The 21,258-nt window shown below is 36.0% G+C and overlaps 1 protein-coding gene across 4 annotated transcripts in view, besides 3 other annotated features; it reads left to right on the top strand.

Moving 5' to 3' along the window:
* The window catches only part of FSTL5 (follistatin like 5), a 780,104-nt gene that overhangs the window by 324,193 nt on the left and 434,653 nt on the right, over window positions 1–21,258 (top strand). The gene's annotated exons all lie outside the window — the stretch shown is intronic.
* Window positions 11,648–12,147: an enhancer, noted in NCBI's record as "H3K27ac hESC enhancer chr4:162748813-162749312 (GRCh37/hg19 assembly coordinates)". NCBI's record gives its function as "activates a minimal SCP1, AML or CMV promoter by ChIP-STARR-seq in primed H9 embryonic stem cells {active_cell/tissue: H9 hESC(primed)}" and the evidence as "EXISTENCE:reporter gene assay evidence [ECO:0000049][PMID:30033119]".
* Window positions 12,148–12,649: an enhancer, noted in NCBI's record as "H3K27ac hESC enhancer chr4:162748311-162748812 (GRCh37/hg19 assembly coordinates)". NCBI's record gives its function as "activates a minimal SCP1, AML or CMV promoter by ChIP-STARR-seq in primed H9 embryonic stem cells {active_cell/tissue: H9 hESC(primed)}" and the evidence as "EXISTENCE:reporter gene assay evidence [ECO:0000049][PMID:30033119]".
* Window positions 17,364–17,865: an enhancer, noted in NCBI's record as "H3K4me1 hESC enhancer chr4:162743095-162743596 (GRCh37/hg19 assembly coordinates)". NCBI's record gives its function as "activates a minimal SCP1, AML or CMV promoter by ChIP-STARR-seq in primed H9 embryonic stem cells {active_cell/tissue: H9 hESC(primed)}" and the evidence as "EXISTENCE:reporter gene assay evidence [ECO:0000049][PMID:30033119]".

Here is a 21,258-nt window from a genome sequence, read left to right as displayed (position 1 = left end):
AAATGCATACACTATGTAATCACCACTCCAATCAAGATATAGAGTATGACTATCACTCCAGTAAAGTCTTTCATTCCCTTTTTAAGTGAAGCCTCCTTTCTCAGCCAAAAATACCACCACTTTTTAAATGTTGACCACTTAAAATAGATTATGTTTTTCTGTATTGGAATTTCACATAAATTGAACCAACAGTATATACATGGTTTTTGTCAGAATTATTTTATTTAATATATAGTTTGTGAGATTCACATATGTTTGTGAGATTCACATATGTTTTGAGTGCTTCCGTAGGTTTTACTCCCTTTTATTGTTGAGCATTAGTGTATTCTATGATTATACCACAATTTGTTTATTCATTCACACATTTGGGTTGTTTCCCATTTTAAAGAATTAGAAATTAGATCTTTGGCAAAAAAAGTGGTTTATAATAATACCTTATCTGTTGTGTCTATACAGTCTGTAGAGTGTATTCTTTCATTTAATTACTAAATATTATTAAGTTGTGGTCTCTTTCTCTCTTTCATTCATCCCGTAACAGAATAGATCATTGCATTAATATTTTCAAATAACTTTTGACTTTTAAATTATACTGCATTTTGTCTATTTTTTTGATGTTTGCTTTTATCCTTATTATGTCCATTCTTTTTTCATTTTTACTTCTAGCATCGGAAAATAAAATTATATCATTTACATTAAATCTCTCATTTATTCTCATGTAAATATTTAAATATCCAGTTTCCTCCTATAATCACTGCTTTAGCTGCATCCTACAAATTTTGTTTTATCTCCATTATAATTTGGTTTGAAGATTTCTCATTTTGCTTTTATTTTTTGACCTATGTTTTATATTAAAAAGTGTTTAATTTATAATTATTTAAGTCTTTCTATATATTTTATGTTTAATAATTCCATTGCGTTCAGAGTAAATACTTGCTATGATTTCTGGCTTTTAAATTGATTGAGATTTGTTTTACAGCTCAACATGGTTTCTTTTGATGAGTATTCCATGTGCTCTTAGATATAAGTTTGTTACATATAGCATTCTTAAAATGTTTAATTTGGTCAGACTGTTTCTCTCTCTCTCCCTATATATATTTATATTTTGGCACCTAATATTTGATATAGGTAACACTAGTTTCAAAGAAGGATCATAATGTCGATACATGTCAACCTTTGATCCTCTTTTCTTATATGGATAAAATTTAGGAATAAGAAAACATTCCAGGCCAGGCACGGTGGCTCACGTCTGTAATCCCAGCACTTTGGGAGGCTGAGGTAGGCGGATCACGAGGTCAGGAGATCGAGACCATCCTGGCTAACACGGTGAAATCCCGTCTCTATTAAAAATACAAAAAAAATTAGCCGGGCGCGGTGGTGGGTGCCTGTAGTCCCAGTTACTCGGCAGAGTTACTGAGGCAGGAGAATGGCATGAACCTGGGAGGCGGAGGTTGCAGTGATCTGAGATCACGCCTCTGCGCTCCAGTCTGGGCAGCAGAAAACATTTTAATATGTTAAACATTAACAGAAAACATTAACTTTTAATACATAAAGGTAAAGAGGTACAACACCAAAACATACAATTTCTTACCTTTGTCCTTATTTTTTAACACCAGTGAGTCAGTATTATTTTAGTGTTTCTGTTTGCTGTCTCATTTTGCTTTAGTTGAGTTTTATTTTGATTTTTTGCTTCAGTAATTATCTATCATTATTATTCATATCTGTGTGAAAATTCTGGATATATCTTGTTGAATCCACTTTTACTTGTCAAAATAGAAGAAATACATAGAACCATAAAATAATACAGTAAAGTCAGCTGTTTAAGCATAGAAGCCCGTTAAGTCAAATGGTGAACATTACGTGATTTCCTTAATGATTTACTAACATTTGTATTATTGATCCTGAAAGTCAAGTATATATATTTTATAAATAGAGGTATTCAAAATTTCAAGTGAGTCAGCATTGCTTTGATGAGTAAAGGGTATTAAATGCATAATAGAGAAGATGCATCCACTTCATAGGCCATAAATTTTATTTTTGAACTTATTCCAAGCCTTAGCAAAAGCTAACCTTTATAAAGCATTTTGTTTTTATTTAAGTATATCAAATATTAGGGTTTCTTCTATAATTGGATTTCCTTTTTTATGAATCATGAACAGGCTATGATAGAAGACACCTCATAGATTAAGTAGTATATTACTTTTATTTTATTAATGATTTTAAAGTGCTTTACCTAGTTGAAAGGCCTTGTTTAATTTCATTATTTTAAATTTCTTGCTATTTTTTCACCTCAAACTAGTGAAATGCCCTCTCTTCAGAAAAATTCACTGAGACACTTTCCCCTAATTTCAATGGCATCCTATTTATTTACCAAATATAATAGGCATATTTTCAGAACTTATTTCATTTAACTTTTATAGTATTTGAGATTTTTATGCTTTCATGTATCTTTAAATTGTCTATAGGTTTTTTTCTAAATTTCCCTAACACTTGTTAGTCAATTTCATGGACTCCTATTTCTTGTTAGTCAATTTCATGGACTCTTCTTTCTCTTTAATTGTTTTTAGGAAAGCATCTTTCAAATCTCATACTTAGTGCTCTTTTCTAAAATATACTGTCTCTTTTGATGACCTCAACTTCACTTCTGTTGATGTTCTAAAGAATTTTCCACTCTTTTTAAACCCTATTTTCAACATAAATACTTTTCTCTATGGCTTCACCTATCACTGCATTTTAACAAACTCTTAAATTAAAAACCTGTTCTGAGTTTTTAGACTCATAGGTCCAACTACATATTTAGTGCCTTCAATTGGATGGCACATAGATGTCTCAAACTCAACACACCCAGGCCCGACTCATTACCATTTCACAAAACTATTCTTCCTCTTTTTGTTCCTATCTCAAAGAATGAAGTCAACATCCACTCAATTATTCAAATCATAAAATAAGGAAATAGTCCAGATTTTGAAAAAAATTATTTTCTGCCCTCTTAAATATCTCTTCATATATCTCCTTTTTTGCATCTCCATTTTTGCTCTATTTTTAATATTTAAAAAATTTATTTTTAATAAAAAATTTCACAATATCTTTAATTTTGCTCTTCAACAACGTATCCTCAACATTGTTTCCAGGGTGTTCTTTCTAATATCCAAATTTGGATTTATAATAGCCTTCCTTAAAATAGCTTCCCTAATACACTCCAAACTCCTTAAAAGAGCATGCAAGAGCCTCCATGACCAGCTCATCACCACTGGGACCCTTTAGCAGCCTCTCCCTGAGGGATGCTGCACTGTGTGCTTGTGCAGGAACATTTCTTACTTTTTTTTTTCTTTTCTTTTCTTTTTTTTTTTATTATTGTTATACTTTAAGTTTTAGGTTACATGTGCACAATGTGCAGGTTAGTTACATATGTATACATGTGTCATGCTGGTGTGCTGCACCCATTAACTCGTCATTTAGCATTAGGTATATCTCCTAAAACTGTCCCTTCCCCCTCCCCCCACCCCACAACAGTCCCTAGAGTGTGATGTTCCCCTTCCTGTGTCCATCTGTTCTCATTGTTCAATTCCCACCTATGAGTGAGAATATGCAGTGGTTGTTTTTTTGTTCTTGCGATAGTTTACTCAGAATGATGATTTCCAATTTCATCCATGTCCCTACAAAGGACATGAGCTCATCATTTTTTATGGCTGCATAGTATTCCATGGTGTATATGTGCCACATTTTCTTAATCCAGTCTATCATTGTTGGACATTTGGGTTGTTTCCAAGTCTTTGCTATGGTGAATGGTGCTGCAATAAACATATGTGTGCATGTGTCTTTATAGCAGCATGATTTATAGTCCTTTGGGTATATACCCAGTAATGGGATGGCTGGGTCAAATGGTATTTCTAGTTCTAGATCCCTGAGGAATCGCCACACTGACTTCCACAATGGTTGAACTAGTTTACAGTCCCACCAACAGTGTAAAAGTGTTCCTATTTCTCCACATCCTCTCCAGCACCTGTTGTTTCCTGACTTTTTAATGATTGCCATTCTAACTGGTGTGGGATGGTATCCCATTGTGGTTTTGATTTGCATTTGTCTGATAGCCAGTGATGATGAGCATTTTTTCATGTGTTTTTTGGCTGCATAAATGTCTTCTTTTGAGAAGTGTCTGTTCATGTCCTTCACCCACTTTTTGATGGGGTTGTTTGTTTTTTTCTTGTAAATTTGTTTGAGTTCATTGTAGATTCTGGCTATTAGCCCTTTGTCAGATGAGTAGGTTGTGAAAATTTTCTCCCATGTTGTAGGTTGCCTGTTCACTCTGATGGTAGTTTCTTTTGCTGTGCAGAAGCTCTTTAGTTTAATTAGATCCCATTTGTCAATTTTGGCTTTTGTTGCCATTACTTTTGGTGTTTTGGACATGAAGTCCTTGCCTATGCCTATGTCCTGAATTGTAATGCCTAGGTTTTCTTCTAGGGTTTTTATGGTTTTAGGTCTAATGTTTAAGTCTTTAATCCATCTTGAATTAATTTTTGTATAAGGTGTAAGGAAGGGATCCAGTTTCAGCTTTCTACTTATGGCTAGCCAGTTTTCCCAGCACCATTTATTAAATAGGGAATCCTTTCCCCATTTCTTGGTTTTCTCAGGTTTGTCAAAGATCAGATAGTTGTAGATATGCAGCGTTATTTCTGAGGGCTCTGTTCTGTTCCATTGATCTATATCTCTGTTTTGGTACCAGTACCATGCTGTTTTGGTTACTGTAGCCTTATAGTATAGTTTGAAGTCAAGTATCATGATGCCTCCAGCTTTGTTCTTTTGGCTTAGGATTGACTTGGCGATGCAGGCTCTTTTTTGGTGTCATATGAACTTTAAAGTAGTTTTTTCCAATTCTGTGAAGAAAGTCATTGGTAGCTTGATGGGGATGGCATTGAATCTATAAATTACCTTGGGCAGTATGGCCATTTTCATGATATTGATTCTTCCTACCCTATGAGCATGGAATGTTCTTCCATTTGTTTGTATCCTCTTGTATTTCCTCGAGCAGTGGTTTGTAGTTCTCCTTGAAGAGGTCCTTCACGTCCCTTGTAAGTTGGATTCCTAGGCATTTTATTCCTTTGAAGCAATTGTGAATGGGAGTTCACTCATGATTTGGCTCTCTGTTTGTCTGTTATTGGTGTATAAGAATGCTTGTGATTTTTGTACATTGATTTTGTATCCTGAGACTTTGCTGAAGTTGCTTATCAGCTTAAGGAGATTTTGGGCTAAGACAATGGGGTTTTCTAGATATACAATCATGTCATCTGCAAACAAGGACAATTTGACTTCCTCTTTTCCTGATTGAATACCCTTTATTTCCTTCTTCTGCCTAATCGCCCTGGCCAGAACTTCCAACACTATGTTGAATAGGAGTGGTGAGAGAGGGCATCCCTGTCTTGTGCCAGTTTTCAAAGGGAATGCTTCCAGTTTTTGCCCATTCAGTATGATATTGGCTGTGGGTTTGTCATAGATAACTCTTGTTATTTTGAGATACGTCCCATCAATACCTAATTTATTGAGAGTTTTTAGCATGAAGGTTGTTGAATTTTGTCAAAGGCCTTTTCTGCATCTATTGAGATAATCATGTGGTTTTTGTCTTTGGTTCTGTTTATATGCTGGATTATATTTATTGATTTGCATATATTGAACCAGCCTTGCATCCCAGGGATGAAGCCCACTTGATCATGGTGGATAAGCTTTTTGATGTGCTGTTGGATTCTTTTTGCCAGTATTTTATTGAGGATTTTTGCATCAATGTTCATCAAGGATATTGGTGTAAAATTCTCTTTCATGCCAAATTGTAAAGACCATCGAGGCTAGGAAGAAACTGCATCAACTAACGAGCAAAATAACCAGCTAACATCATAATGACAGGATCAAATTCACACATCACAATATTAACTTTAAATGTAAATGGACTAAATGCTCCAATTAAAAGACACAGACTGGCAAATTGGATAAAGAGTCAAGACCCATCAGTGTGCTGTATTCAGGAAACCCATCTCCCATGCAGAGACACACATAGGCTCAAAATAAAAGGATGGAGGAAGATCTACCAAGCAAATGGAAAGCAAAAAAAGGCAGGGGTTGCAATCCTAGTCTCTGATAAAACAGACTTTAAACCAACAAAGATCAAAAGAGACAAAGAAGGCTATTACATAATGGTAAAAGGATTAATTCAACAAGAAGAGCTAACTATCCTAAATATATATGCACCCAATACAGGAGCACCCAGATTCATAAAGCAAGTCCTGAGTGACCTACAAAGAGACTTAGACTCCCACACAATAATAATGGGAGACTTTAACACCCCACTGTCAACATTAGACAGATCAACGAGACAGAAAGTTAACAAGGATACCCAGGAATTGAACTCAGCTCTGCACCAAGAGGACCTAATAGACATCTACAGAACTCTCCACCCCAAATCAACAGAATATACATTTTTTTCAGCACCACACCACACCTATTCCAAAATTGACCACATAGTTGGAAGTAAAGCTCTCCTCAGCAAATATAAAAGATCAGAAATTAAAACAAACTGTCTCTCAGACCACAGTGCAATCAAACTAGAACTCAGGATTAAGAAACTCACTCAAAACCGCTCAACTACATGGATACTGAACAACCTGCTCCTGAATGACTACTGGGTACATAACGAAATGAAGGCAGAAATAAAGATGTTCTTTGAAACCAACGAGAACAAAGACACAACATACCAGAATCTCTGGGACACATTCAAAGCAGCGTGTAGAGGGAAATTTATAGCACTAAATGCCCACAAGAGAAAGCAGGAAAGATCCAAAATTGACACCCTAACATCACAATTAAAAGAACTAGAAAAGCAAGAGCAAACACATTCGAAAGCTAGCAGAAGGCCAGAAATAACTAAAATCAGAGCAGAACTGAAGGAAATAGAGACACAAAAAACCCTTCAAAAAATTAATGAATCCAGGAGCTGGTTTTTTGAAAGGATCAACAAAATTGATAGACCGCTAGCAAGACTAATAAAGAAGAAAAGAGAGAAGAATCAAATAGATGCAATAAAAAATGATAAAGGGGATATCACCACCGATCCCACAGAAATACAAACTACCATCAGAGAATGCTATAAACACCTTTACGCAAATAAACTAGAAAATCTAGAAGAAATGGATAAATTCCTCGACACATACACCCTCCCAAGACTAAACCAGGAAGAAGTTGACTATCTGAATAGTCCAATAACAGGCTCTGAAATTGTGGCAATAATCAATAGCTTACCAACCAAAAAGAGTCCAGGACCAGATGGATTCACAGCCGAATTCTACCAGAAGTACAAGGAGGAACTGGTACCATTCCTTCTGAAACTATTCCAATCAATAGAAAAAGAGGGAATCCTCCCTAACTCATTTTGTGAGGCCAGCATCATCCTGATACCAAAGCCAGGCAGAGACACATTTCTTACTTATAATGAACTCCACGATTTCTTGCAGTTCTTGCTATCTGGAAGGATCGTCTCACCTCCCAAAAAATATCACTGCACTGTCCTATTGTACAGCTCATTCGTTTGGTTCAGATTTCATATCATCTGTGAATTCTTCCCCTGTCCTTTCCCTGGGAACTTCGTTAGTCATTGTTCATTTGAAGGGTCCTTAAGTCTTATAAATATACACCACACATAAAACTATCATAACATTTACCATGCTGTAGGAAAGTGGTTTCTTTATAGGTAAGAATTTTCCATAACCTTCTTTTAAGCATCCCTTATCTCTGTATTACCTGTCCCTAGCACATAGCAAGAATATGTTCAGTGAATTCATGGTTTTAACTGGTCAATGTCTCTTATTAGTATCTGAATCACTTAATAAGGTTAAAAAGCCACAAGTCATTATTTTCATTGATCTTGTGGAATATAGTTTTCAGCAAATTTTCTCTAAAATCCTAAGAATGAAATTTAAAAATTAAAAGTCTTTAAATTTTTCAGAATGGCATATATATGTATATATATGCTGTTATATATTATTATGCTGTTCCAAAATATGATATATTACAAATACAACAGAAGTTATTTAATGAGTGACATTATTTTGAGAGGTATTCCTAAAAAGTTCTTACTTTTTAAAACTAAAATCTTGTGGAAAAATATATTAGAATAAAGATTCTATTTAATTTCAATAGCAAGAAATTGAAATTTATTTAATCTCAAATACATATAATGTAACACTTTGAAACTGGGAATTAAAATTGATGAGCGTGATGTGTTTTTATATTTTATATGCTTTTTTTTGTAACAAAACAGCAAGTAACCTTGGATATTTAAAACTTTCAATTTTATTTCTAAGTTTTGTATTACTGCCTCCTCAAAAATGCCACAAAAATGCATTCAGGTGATGAAAATGTCAATTTAATAGCCAGGCAAATGGTGCTTGCTTGTCCTATCAGACACGTAATTAGAGGTATGTTTCATATGAGAAACAAATTAAAATTTAAATATCCAAAGAAAATTTTATATTATATCTATTAATTGGAGTTTTAGAATGACTAAAAAGTTAAAAATTGTTTTAAATAAAATTTATTGCATATATTTAAGGTATACAACATGATGTTATAAAATATATATACATGATAAAATGGTTACTATAGTGGAAGAATGAACATAGCCATCGTTTCACATAGTTACCAATTTCCCCCACTCTCACCGCAAGAGCAGCTATGATTTATTCATTTACCAAAAATCTTGAATACAAGAATACTTTTTACTGGAAGGACATGAAAGTTTCATTTAAGCTTCTAGGAGAACATTTGAGTTGTGATTTTCAAGTATTCTAAGTATCATAGCTAAATATCACTAATAGGGACCCACACATCATTTAATACCACTATTAAAATAACAATGCAGAATCCTATGGGGTCTGGGAGATGGCAATACGTTCTAATTCTAACACCTTCCAACCCCAATTTTTTTTAGCATACTATGATCAAACAATTTGAAGAAATGCTGGTTTACTTCTCTATTTTTATATTTTTTGTTTTGCTGCAAAATTCTTTGACATGTTTAATATTCTGGGGTTCATGATGTCTGTTTGTTGAGAGGCAATAGAATAACTTTCACAAGCATTTCATCAAGGGACACTTTTTATTTAATTGTATGTTCTGTTAAACAGACAAAAGCATGTTCAGTTTGCAATATATACTTATGGTATATACTTATGGTAGACAGAGAATCTGAAGTCTCAAGATGCTAAGTATCTTTCCTAGGCCACAACATAAATGAACAGAGAAACTAGGATTTTTCTTACTCATAATAAAAAGTTCAATAAAAAGTATGCCTGCAAACATAATTTCATTTTTAATCAAAATCTTTAAGCAAGGCAATGCAAGTTTGATCAACTTAAATGTTAAAAAAAGAAAAATAAACACTCATTAAAAAATCCAATTATACGTATGTTTACTGTTAATCCTTACTATCCACATAAGAACTTGGAAATTACATCATAACAGGAAGCAAAATCTCTGGAATTAGTTGGCAGCCTGTTCATTGACTGTTGAAATGTACCCTCTTTAAAGCATGCCAGGTGTTCCAGCAGTGCAAAGAAAAAAATGTGTCTGATAGTGATGGACCAATTGTTTTGTATACCATAAGTGAAGACCTTAAGTAACTATCAAACATTTTATTTGCACAATATCAAATATATTTACCTAACAAAAATCCCTTTGAATGTTATTACATCAGCCAGGAAGTCCATATTTTTTTGTTTCTTATTCATTTATTTTAAAAACAGTAAGATGATTCTGAGATTCTGTTGGATCTTTGCATTCTAGTATATACATCTCAAAAAATGGTTCTGATTCTAGTCTTTCCTTGTTATAAACTTAAGGGTTGCTCTTTCCTTGCAAACAAAATTGCAAAATGTGTTTGTTCCTTGTCATTGATGCATACAATCATTTAAGGAAAATTGGCAGGATGTGTCTGAGATTTTGGCTCTGTGATTTGAAGACATTCTGTGTATGCTTGTGTAAAGGCAGGTGGCAAAATGTGAATCCAAAACTATATCCATTATGTTCATTTACTTTACCATTTAGAAAGCACAGATGTTAACTATATAACAAGGTGGTTTTTATTGTAATCACCTGCTGTTAGGGTCCCTCTTGGCATAGTAGCCAAACAGATTATTGTTTCCTTCTCATTTACAAAGTGTTTGCTATTTGATGGCTCAAAGCAAACCTGGAAATTATTTTTCATTCCTAAGAAATACTTAAAACAAGACAATTTTGAAGTGAAATGATTATAAATTTGAATTGCATACTATTATAGATAATTACATACATTAATTATAATATGATATGTGTAGATTTTTAGCTTAAAAATCTGGTTTTCCAGTGGTTTATTTTTTTATTTGCTATTGTTTAAGCAGAACTCCTTCTATTCACTGACAATCTTGAAAAAAAATTACTTCATTTTTTTTCTTTTAGCTTTTACCCATAAAAGGAAATAGTTTAATATTTTCCTATTTTTGCTACTTAAAATTAAAACTTTAAGAGCTTTTCCTCTGGAATACCAGATCATATATTTAAATATACACTCAGATGAATGTATTTATATAACATAGACTATATTTAATATATATACAGTGTGTCTGTGTACATATATATATATATATATATATAAAATGTGACTGAAGCCCTTTTAACTTTGTCTAATTTTTTTTTGAAAAAATTACATTTATCAAGTATCTCATAAATTCGCCACCATTGACACATATAAAGCTCCCAGTCTTAAAATTTAATTCCTTGAATAACTTAATTCTTAACCTGAGACTTGGTCAAAGACAAAACTCCATGTTTTGCTCTACTACCATAGCCTTGGAAAAAAACTTCTTTAGTGGTTTTATACCTGTCTATAGCAGAGCAAATCAAAATATTTACCTCTATCTCTCTGTTCTTTCTTTGTATGCAGGTTGCATTTATAAAGCACTGTAAAACTAATAAGCATGTGTTGTACTAATAATATGTAATAAATATAACTGTTAAATTTAGAGACAAAGTACATACATTTATTCAATTAAAGTGTTTAGACCATCTATTATTTATTAAATATCACTAAATCTTAGCCTAAGTTAATGATATATGACTCAATCCCCAGAGGAAAATAATATAATCTAGTAGAAGAATTCACAGATTCTAAAATTTTCAGATACTGCTCTAAAACATCAATGACATTTTCCTAAAATTAAATAATAGCTCTTCCCAAGTATAACACTTTAAAAAATATGAATCTTAATATGATCCCAAAGAACTTATCAGACTACTGAGAGAGGAAAATGGCAGATAGAAGGCAGGACTAAATTGCAGCTCCCACTGGGACAGATAGAGCAACATGTGGAAACACATACATCTAGAACTTTTACTCCAGGAACTGCAGAAACACACCAGGAAGGCTGAGAGAATCCACAGACTCTTTGAAGGAAGTGGATTGCTCCTACAGGCCCCAGGAGACAGCCCCAAAACTGTAAATGCTCAAAGAGTGAAAGTGAAAGAGGGATTGTCCACCCCCAGACACACACCCTCACTGCAGAACCTGAAGGTCCAGATCATGGAAAAAGTATGTGACCTTACCAGGAGCTGAGACAATTTTAGAGAGCCAAGCAAAATATAGTGATAGAAGACCCGACAGGAAGTGCCCCTGTGGGCTCTCTCAGTCCCCAGGGAAGCCATTTCTGACTTTATCTCACAGAGGTCCTTGGGGAGGGCTACCAGAGGAACCGGGAAAAGTCCACATGATAAAGGAAACTTCCAGCTGAACTTTGTAACAATTTCGACTGAACTCATAGATTCCTGGACAGAACTCAGGGGATGGTGTGAATCCAGAGTGTAGACACAGCACAGAAGCTGCGGCAGGCAGGGTGGTACGAAATCTGAAAACCATACCTGCTTCACAGTGGGGAGGCTGGTAGCATGGGGCAAGTTCTCAGCATGCCCGGAAACAAACTCTGTGCTGTTGGGAGAATGATGGGAGTGAGACCAGCCTTTTGGGCTGCATGGGAGCTGGGTGAGGCCTGTAACTGCCAACTTTCCCCCACTTTCCTAGTAACCTGCATAGCACAGCAGAAGCAGCCAAAATTCCCCTGGGAACATAACTCCATTGGCCTGAGAACCATGCCCCCATCTTCCACAGCAGCCACAGCAAGCCCTGCCCAAGGAGAGTCTGAGCTCAGACACGCCTAACCCTTCCAGAACCTGATGGTCTTTCTCTACCAGCCCTGGTAGTCGAAGACAAAGGGCGTGTTCTCTTGGGAGCTCTAAGCCCCCACTCACCACCTGATCCTCCCTATGCTACCACATCTGATGCACTCTTGAAAGTGCCATCTCCTGGCAGAAGGCCAACCAGCACAAAACTAGTGCAATAAACAAAACTACAGCTAAGGACCCTCACAGAGTTTACTTCACTCCCCTGCCACCTCCACCAGAGCAGATGCTGTTATCCATGGCTGAGAGACCTGAAGACGGTTCACATCACAGAACTGTGCAGGCACTCCCTAGAACCACTCCCAAGCCTGGTAGCTCTGCTGGCTAGCTAAATCCAGAAGAGAAATAATCACTACAGTTCCGCTCTCAGGAAGCCGCATTCCTAGGGGAAGGGGGAGAACACCACATCAAGGGAGCACCCTGTGGGACAAAAGAATCTTAAGAGCAGCCCTTGAGTCCCAGGTCTTCCCTCTGACATAGTCCACCCAGCACTACAAGAACTGCTAAAAGGAGCTCTAACTCTTGAAACAAATCCTTGAAATACACCAAAATGAACATCTTTAAAGCATAAATCTCACAGGGCCCATAAAACAAAAACACAGTAAATAAATTTAAAAAAATGTTATTCAGGAAACAGAATGATGAATAGAATAGTACCTCACATCTCAACGTTGAACATAAATGGCCTAAATCATCTACTTAAAAGATAAAGAATGGCAGAATGGATAAGAATTTACCAACCAAGTACCTACTGTCTTTGAGACTCACCTGACACATAAGGACTCACATTAACTTAAGGTTAAGGGGTAGAAAAAGATAGTCTATGCAGATGGACACCAAAAGTGAGCAGGAGTTGCTATTCTTATGTCAGACAAAACAAACTTCAAAGCAACAGCCATAAAAAACACAAAGAAAGGCATTACATAATGATAAAAGGACTTGTCCAACAACAACAACAAAATGACAATCCTAAATAAGTATGCACCTAAACATTGGAACTCCCAAATTTATAAAACAATTACTACCAGACATAAGAAATGAGATAGATGGCAACACAATATTAGTGGGGGACTTCAGTACTTCACTGACGGCAGTAAACAGGTCATCAAGACAGAAAGTCAACAACAACAACAAAAAAAACAATGGATTTAAACTATACCTAGAATAGATAGACTTAATAGATATTTATAGAACATTCTACCAAACAACTGCAGAATATACATTCTATTCATCAACACATGGGACTTTCTCCAAGAGAGACCATATGATAGGTCACAAAATAAGCCTCAAAAAATTTAAGAAAATTGAAATTATATTACTCTCTCAGACCACAGGAGAATAAAATTGGAAATCAACTCCAAAAGGAGCCCTCAAAACAATCCAAATATATGGAAATTAAATAACCTGCTCCTGAATTATAGTTGTGTCAATAATGAAATCAAGATGAAAATTAAAAACTTCTTTGAATTGAACAATAATAGTGACACAGCCTATCAAAACCTCTGGGATATAGCAAAGGTAGTGCTAAGAGGAAAGTTCACAGCTTTAAATGCATACATCAAAAAGTCTGAAAAAGCACAAATAGACAATCTAAAGCCACACCTCAAGGAACTAGAGAAATAAAAACAAACCAAAGACAAACCCAACAGAAAAAAAGAAATAATGAAGATCAAAGCAGAACTAAATGAAATAAAAAAATACAAAAGATAAATGAAACAAAAAGCTGGCTCTTTTAAAAGATAAATAAAATTGACAGACCATTAGTGAGATTAACTAGGTAAGGAAGAGAGAAGATCCAAATAAGCTCAAATAAAAATGAAACAAGTGATATTAAAACAGATACCACAGAATACAAAATATCATTCAAGGCTACTAAGAACATCTTTATGCGAATAAACTGGAAAACCTAGAAGAGATAGATAAATTCCTGGAAATATACAACCCTCCTAGATTAAACCAGGAATATATATAAATTCTGAACAGACAAATAACAATCAGCAATATTAAAATGGTAATAAAAAATGCCAACCAAAAAGAGTCCAGGACAGATGGATTCACAGCTGAATTCTATCAGACACTCAAAGAAGAATTGGTACCAATCCTATTGATACTATCCCACAAGATAAAAAAAGAAGGAATCCTTCCTAAATCATTCTATGAAACCAGTATCACCCTAATACCAAAACCAGGAAAGGACATAACACAAAAAGAAAACTACAGACCAATATGTCTGATGAATATAGATGCAAAAATCCTTAACAATGTGCTAGGTGGCCAAATCCAGGAGAATATCAAAAAGATAATCCACCATGATCAAGTGGGTTTCATACCAGGAATGCAGGGATGGTTTCACATACACAATCAATAAATGTGATACGCCACATAAACAGAATTAAAAGCAAAAATCACATGTTTATCTCAATGGATGCAGAAAAAGCATTTGACAAAATCCAGCATCCCTTTATGATTAAAACCCTTAGAAAAATTGGCATAGAAGGGACATACTTTAATGTAATAAAAGCCATCTATGACAACCCCACAGCCAACATTACACTGAATGGAGAGAAGTTGAAAGCATTCCTCTGAGAATTTGAACCAGACAAGAATGCCCACTCTCCCCAGTTCTATTCAACATAGTACTGGAAGTCCTAGCTAGAACAATCAGACAAGAGAAAGAAATAAAGGGCATCCAAATAGTATACCTAGAAAACCCTAAAGACTCATGCAAAAAGCTCCTAGGACTGATAAATGAATTCACTGAAGTTTTATGATACAAAATTAATATGCACAAATCAGTAGCTCTGCTATACACCAATGGTGACCAAGCTGAGAATCAAATCAAGAACTCAACCCCTTTTACAATAGCTGCAAAAAATCACAAACTAATTAGGAATATACCTAACCAAGGAGGTGAAAAGCCTCTAAAAAGAAAACTACAAAATACTGCTGAAAGAAATCATAGATGACACAAACAAATAGAAACATATCCCATGCTCATGTATGGCTAGAATCAATATTGTGAAAATAACCAAACAATCCTAAAATTTATATGAAACCAAAAAAGAACCCACATAGCCAAAGCAAGACTAAGCAAAAAGAACAAATCTGAAGGCATCACATTACCTGACTTCAAACTATATTATAAGGCCATAGTCACCCAAACAATATGGTACTGCTATAAAAATAGGCACATAGGCCAATGGAACAGAATAGAGAACCCAGAAATAAAGCCAACTACTTATAGCCAACTGACCTTCAACAAAGCCAACAAAAGCATAAAATGGGGAAAGGAAACCCTATTCAACAAACGGTGCTGGGATAATTGGCAAGCTACATGTAGAAGAATGAAACTGGATCCTCATCTGTCACCTTACATAAAAATCAACTCAAGATGGATCCAGAACTTAAATCTAAAACCTGAAACCATAAAAATTCTATGCAATAACATTAGAAAACCCCTTCTAGACATTGGCTTAGGCAAAGACTTCATGACCAAGAACCCAAAAGCTAATGCAACAAAACAAAGATAAATAGATGGGACTTAATTAAAATAAAAACCTTCTGCCCAGCAAAAGAAACAATTAGCAGAGTAAACAGACAACCCATAGAGTGGGAAAAAATCTTTGTAATCTATATATCTGACAAAGGACTAGTATCCAGAATCTACAAGGAATTCAAACAAATTAGCAAGAAAACACAAACAATCCCATCAGAAAGTGGGCTAAGGACATGAATTCTCACAATAAGATATACAAATGGCCAACAAACATATTGATGGCAGTGGTGGCCCATCTGGAGCAGCTGATGTGAAGACAGCAGCTGCAGCAGTGGAGTCACAGCTGAAGTTTCATGCTCTGTGATGCCTGTGGTAGCCCTGCCCCTACCAAGTTTGCAGGGCAGGAACCCCATGATCCTCAGCACAGTTGCAGCCACACAGCCATGGATCCAGACTTGGACATCCCTGCACTCTTGCAGGCCTGCAAAGCCCCTTCCCCTTCAGGCTCAGAAGTCCCTGCTCCCAAGATCTGGTGTCTCCCCATTGCCAGCACCTGCTCTGGTGTGGAGCAAAGTTGCGGCTAAGCCTGGCTGTTGTTGTAACCTGGTTGAGTGTACATGAACTCGGGGCTGTGCTGACATGCCAGCCCCACTGCTGTCTCAGTCCCCTCTGAAACTTTTGGCATTGACGAGGGAGGGAGGCCAGGGGGCTCTGAGAGCACCTTGGTGACAGCCTGCAGACGCCCCTTGGGATGAACAGCTTGGGCTCTGTGGATGGCATGTTGATGTTGCCAGGAAGCCATCAAGCTCTTGGGTGAAAATGGGTGGGTCCCTGGTGAAACAGGACCTTCAAGCGAGGGACGGCCTAAAGCCTGGGGGCTGGCCTGCCATTTCTGGGTGGAGTCAGTGATCCAAGGTAAGAACTTATGGTGCTTTTTTTCATACCTGCCAATGGCCAGCCATAAATCAGTCAGCATGCACTTCCTCCCTTCTGAGACCATAAAAACCCCAGACTCAGATGTCAGGACAACCAGCTGTGGAAAGGAGCTACCAGCAGTAGGTCTCTTCTCTGCTGAGAGGTGGACACTCATCAGGATAGCCTGCCTGTGGTACAGAGCTACCCACTACAGGTCTCCTTTCTGCTGAGAGCTGGACACTCATTAGGACAACCTGCCTGCAGAAAGGAGCTAACCACCTTGGGACTCCTGAGAGCTGTTCTGTCATTCAGTGAAACTTCTCTGCCTTATTCACCCTCTAGTTGTCCATGTACCTCATTCTTCCTGGACGTGAGACAAGAACTCAGGACATGCTGAATGCGGGCCTGAAAGAGCAGTAATACAAACAGGGCTGAAACATGCCCCCCCGCTCACCATACTGTGGGTGACAATGAGAGAAGATAAGTAGAGAAGAGCCATGGCCCTTTGGGGAGCCCAGACCTAGGGCTGGGCCAGGGCTGTGACACCCTCTTTGCAGCTCTGCAGTTCATGGTATCTCTAAGATTTTAGGAGTCACTGCATTCTCTGGTGCCCACAGTGGAAGCTGTTTGCAGTATACTTGGTCTAGCTGCAGCCTCACATTTAGCCAGTGCCTGCACCAGTGCCTGGAGCTGCCTGCCCTGCTGCAGCTAGCACACCTGGCTGTGCACAGTGGCCAGACCCCATGCTCACTCACACACCTCTCATCACTCTGCACCTGGCTCATCCTTGGCAGGCATGGAATCTGAGCTGGTAGTGTGAGCCAAGTGCAGCCTACCAGGCTGTGTGGGCGGAACAAGCCCAATAGGCCTGTGCAAAACTCAGGCAAAGGCACCACCATCCACAGAGGTTTCTGGCTGGAAAAGCAACACCCCTAAGGATCCTGTGACATGAAAAAATGCTCAACATCACTAATGATCAGGAAAATGTAAATCAAAACCATAATGCAATACCACCTTACTCCTGCAAGAATGGCCATAATGAAAAAAAAAATAGTAGATGTTGGCAGGGATCTGGTGAAAAAGGAACACTTTTACATTGCTGGTGGGAATGTAAACTAGTACAACCACTATGAAAAACAGTGTGGAGAGTCCTTAGATAACTGAAAGCAGAACTACCATTTGATCCAGCAATCCTTCACTGCTGGGTACCTACCCAGAAGAAAAGAAGTCATTGTATGAAAAAGATAGTTGCACTCACATGTTTATAGCAGCACAATTTGCAATTGCAAAAATATGAAACCAGCTCAAATGCTCATCAATCAACAAGTGGGTAAAGAAATTGTGGTATTCATATATATATATACACACACACCATGGAATACCATGCAGCCATGAAAAAAATGAAATAATGGCATTTGAAGTGACCTGGATGGAATTGGAGACCATTATTCTAATTGAAGTAACTCAGGAATAAAAACCAAATATCATATGTTCTCACTCATAAGTGGGAGCTAAGCTATGAGGATGCAAAGGCATAAGAATAATACAATGGACTTCAGGGATTTGGGGGTAAGTGTGGGAGGAGGGTGAGGGATAAAAGACTACAAATTAGTTACAGTGTATACTGCTTGGGTGATGGGTGCACCAAAATCTCACTAAAGAACTTATTCATGTAACAAAACACCATGTGTCCCGCAAAAACCTATGGAAATTTAAAAAATAATAATAAAGAACTTTTTTTTAATCAAATAAGAACTTAGTATGGAATCTTCTCCATGTAACTTGTCGTTGTCCTTCAAGAAAACCTGTTTCTGGCCATGTGCAGTGGTTCACACTGGTCATCGTGGCAATTTGGGAGGTTGAGACAGGCAGATTGCTTGATCCCAGGAATTCAAGACCAGTCTGGGTCACATGGTGAAACCCCTTGTCTACAAAAAATACAAAAATTAGCCAGACATGGTGTGCTGTGCCTGCAGTCCCAGCTACTCGGGAGGCTAAGGTGGGAGGATCACCTGAGCTAAGGAGTTCAAGGCTGTAATGAGCCATGATTGCACCACTGCACTCTAGCCTGGGTGACAGAATGAGACTCTGTGTCAAAACAAACAAACAAACAAAGAAAACTTGTTTTTAATTAAATACTATCTTAAAAAATGTACAAATATATACATTTTTTATTTGTAAAGAGTTTGGTGGTTTTTTTTTTTTTTGGACAACCAATCTTTGAAATCTGATTAAGAATTTTTGAAATATCGTATTAAAGAATACTAAGTGTTGTAACAAACATACAAAATCATTTTTATGGCTCAGATTATCATTGACATCTTTTTAATGCTCATATGAAAACCAAAACATATTTCTGTAGAGCTGGTGGTTCTCAAGTAGTAATATAGGGACTCAGATTCCTTCCATCTTCTGGCTCCTTTGTTCTCAATACATGACTTTAAAGTCTCCCCTGCTCATCTGTGCCAAGTCCGTGAAGGAAATGAGCATTGAGAATCACCTCTGGAAGGCTCTCATGGTCCAGGCCTTCAATTTTCACGCATCACTACTGCTAATTTTCCATGTGCTAAATATCTGTGATTTGACCGTACCCTACTATAAGAAACATTGACAAATACACATTCACATTGATCTAGGAAGAAAAAGAAATGGGTTTGGTGAGCAGATATTCATTATATGTTTCAATGACATATTTTTCAATTAAAATTAGTATATGTGTATATATGTGTGTGTTCACATACATGTAATATTAGAGTGTCTCTCTATTGGAATTAATCCTTAATATATGCCTATTTGAATTCAGGAATTCCCTGGAAGTTCTTAATGGTATTTTTGAATTCTTACATTTTTCTCCCCTCATTGTTTCCATTTGTATTTAACTTGAATATAAGTGGAAAATATGGAACACATGACTTCCTGTAATCTTTATCTTCCAATAATACATTCGAGCTTATTTTTATTTCAATTAGAAAATATTTCTATCAATTGCTATTTCTTGAAATAGTAGACAACGCAAAAATAAAATTCTGGTGAATTTTTGTGAATGGGTTACACTTCTGTTATATTGCAAACAAATTTTGGAAAACATCATTGGACAAATGTTTTCCACGTAAAAACTTTGCATAATAAAGTAAAAGTTTAAAGAAACTAAAAAGAGTCTTCAATATATTTTAGAGAAAATTACTGAAAAAGTTAAAAAAAACTTAATTTTTTTTTACTTTTTCTCATTATGTTGTGGCAAAACCCAAAATAACAGTTTTTGATACAGGCATAATATTTTGAATAAAAATACTTGATGCAGAAGATGTGAACAAAATTTTCCTTGGAATTACTATTACTAAAGATGAGTTAATCATATATTTTTTACCCCAGTTTTATTAGAATATGCTATTTATGCTTAAATTTCAAAGGAGCTTGCAAAGGAGATTATTTTTAAATAATCAGCTGATTTTAGGTTTCATTCATGAATTTTGAGGTGGATTTTTTTTCTAGCCCCAAATTTTCTTCATTAAACTAAAGAACCATATGATGCAATAGCTTGAAAATTAGTTATAGTATATCAGATTGATGCACTTCTGTGAAAAAGGTCACACTCTATGTCTATTTCAAAATGCAGACCCTGCATTTTGGTAATGTTTTAAATCCACAGAGAGACAGTTAGAGGATGAAAACTGGAAACTGAAGAATAATTTTAAGAATGCTAAGCTCTCTGCTTTATTTATGTAAGTTACATGACATAAAATGTCAGGGAAGTGTTTTGACTATTACTGTACAAAATAGGAAGAACCAACTCAGTGAACAAATTTGCCTTCTGTTTGTTGAGTCAGTTATTTTACAAAAAAAACTATTGCTTATTTTCAGTAGACATTTTTAGTTTTCCATGAATACTGAAAAATTAAAGACTTTAAGTTCTGATCATGAAAAACAAACAAATTTATTTCACCAAAAATATTTTCAACTTAGTTATTATTAGATAAACATATAACTTCATATATTAAAATAGTAGAAAAGTAAGGTTAATAGTATATTTTATTACATTAAGCAAATTAATGTATATATGCCATAGGCATCAATATTTAGAATGTTTAATTAGCACTACTTTTAATCATTTTATTTATTTCAGCTTATGAATTTTCTTTTACTTACTATCAGAAATTAAGCATTTATTAAGCCTCAAGAGAGTGAGGCTTAAGTTATTACTTAAGATGGTTTTAAAAGGAAAATAAAATTGCAGCATTTAAAAAAGTCACAATTTATCTAGTAAACCAAATACATTCAGAAAAATAAAATGCAAAAACACTTTTAAAAGACACCTATCTGTAGATACAGAAATCATACTGTGAAGGTTGTTATAATTACTGAGAAGAGGTTTTTTTCAGTATGGAAGTTTCCCAGTAGTTCAAAATACATTAAGTTATAGAAAACTCTTAAAAGAAAAGGAATCGTTCCTTGAATAGTAATCAAAAGTATTATTGAAACGGGAAAAGCTCCCTTGTCCCCATCGCAGTGCGTGCAATGGGGGTGTGGCTCACTTCTACAATGCCCCACTGCTCAAACCTCTAGGGGAGCATATAGACAGGTAGGCTGTGGGGCTCCCACCC

Source organism: Homo sapiens, chromosome 4, assembly GCF_000001405.40.
Source record: "Homo sapiens chromosome 4, GRCh38.p14 Primary Assembly".
In the NCBI taxonomy this organism is placed as follows: domain Eukaryota; kingdom Metazoa; phylum Chordata; class Mammalia; order Primates; family Hominidae; genus Homo; species Homo sapiens.
The sequence above is the reverse complement of the archived record's forward strand: the minus strand, read 5'-3'. Positions and strand labels throughout refer to the sequence as shown.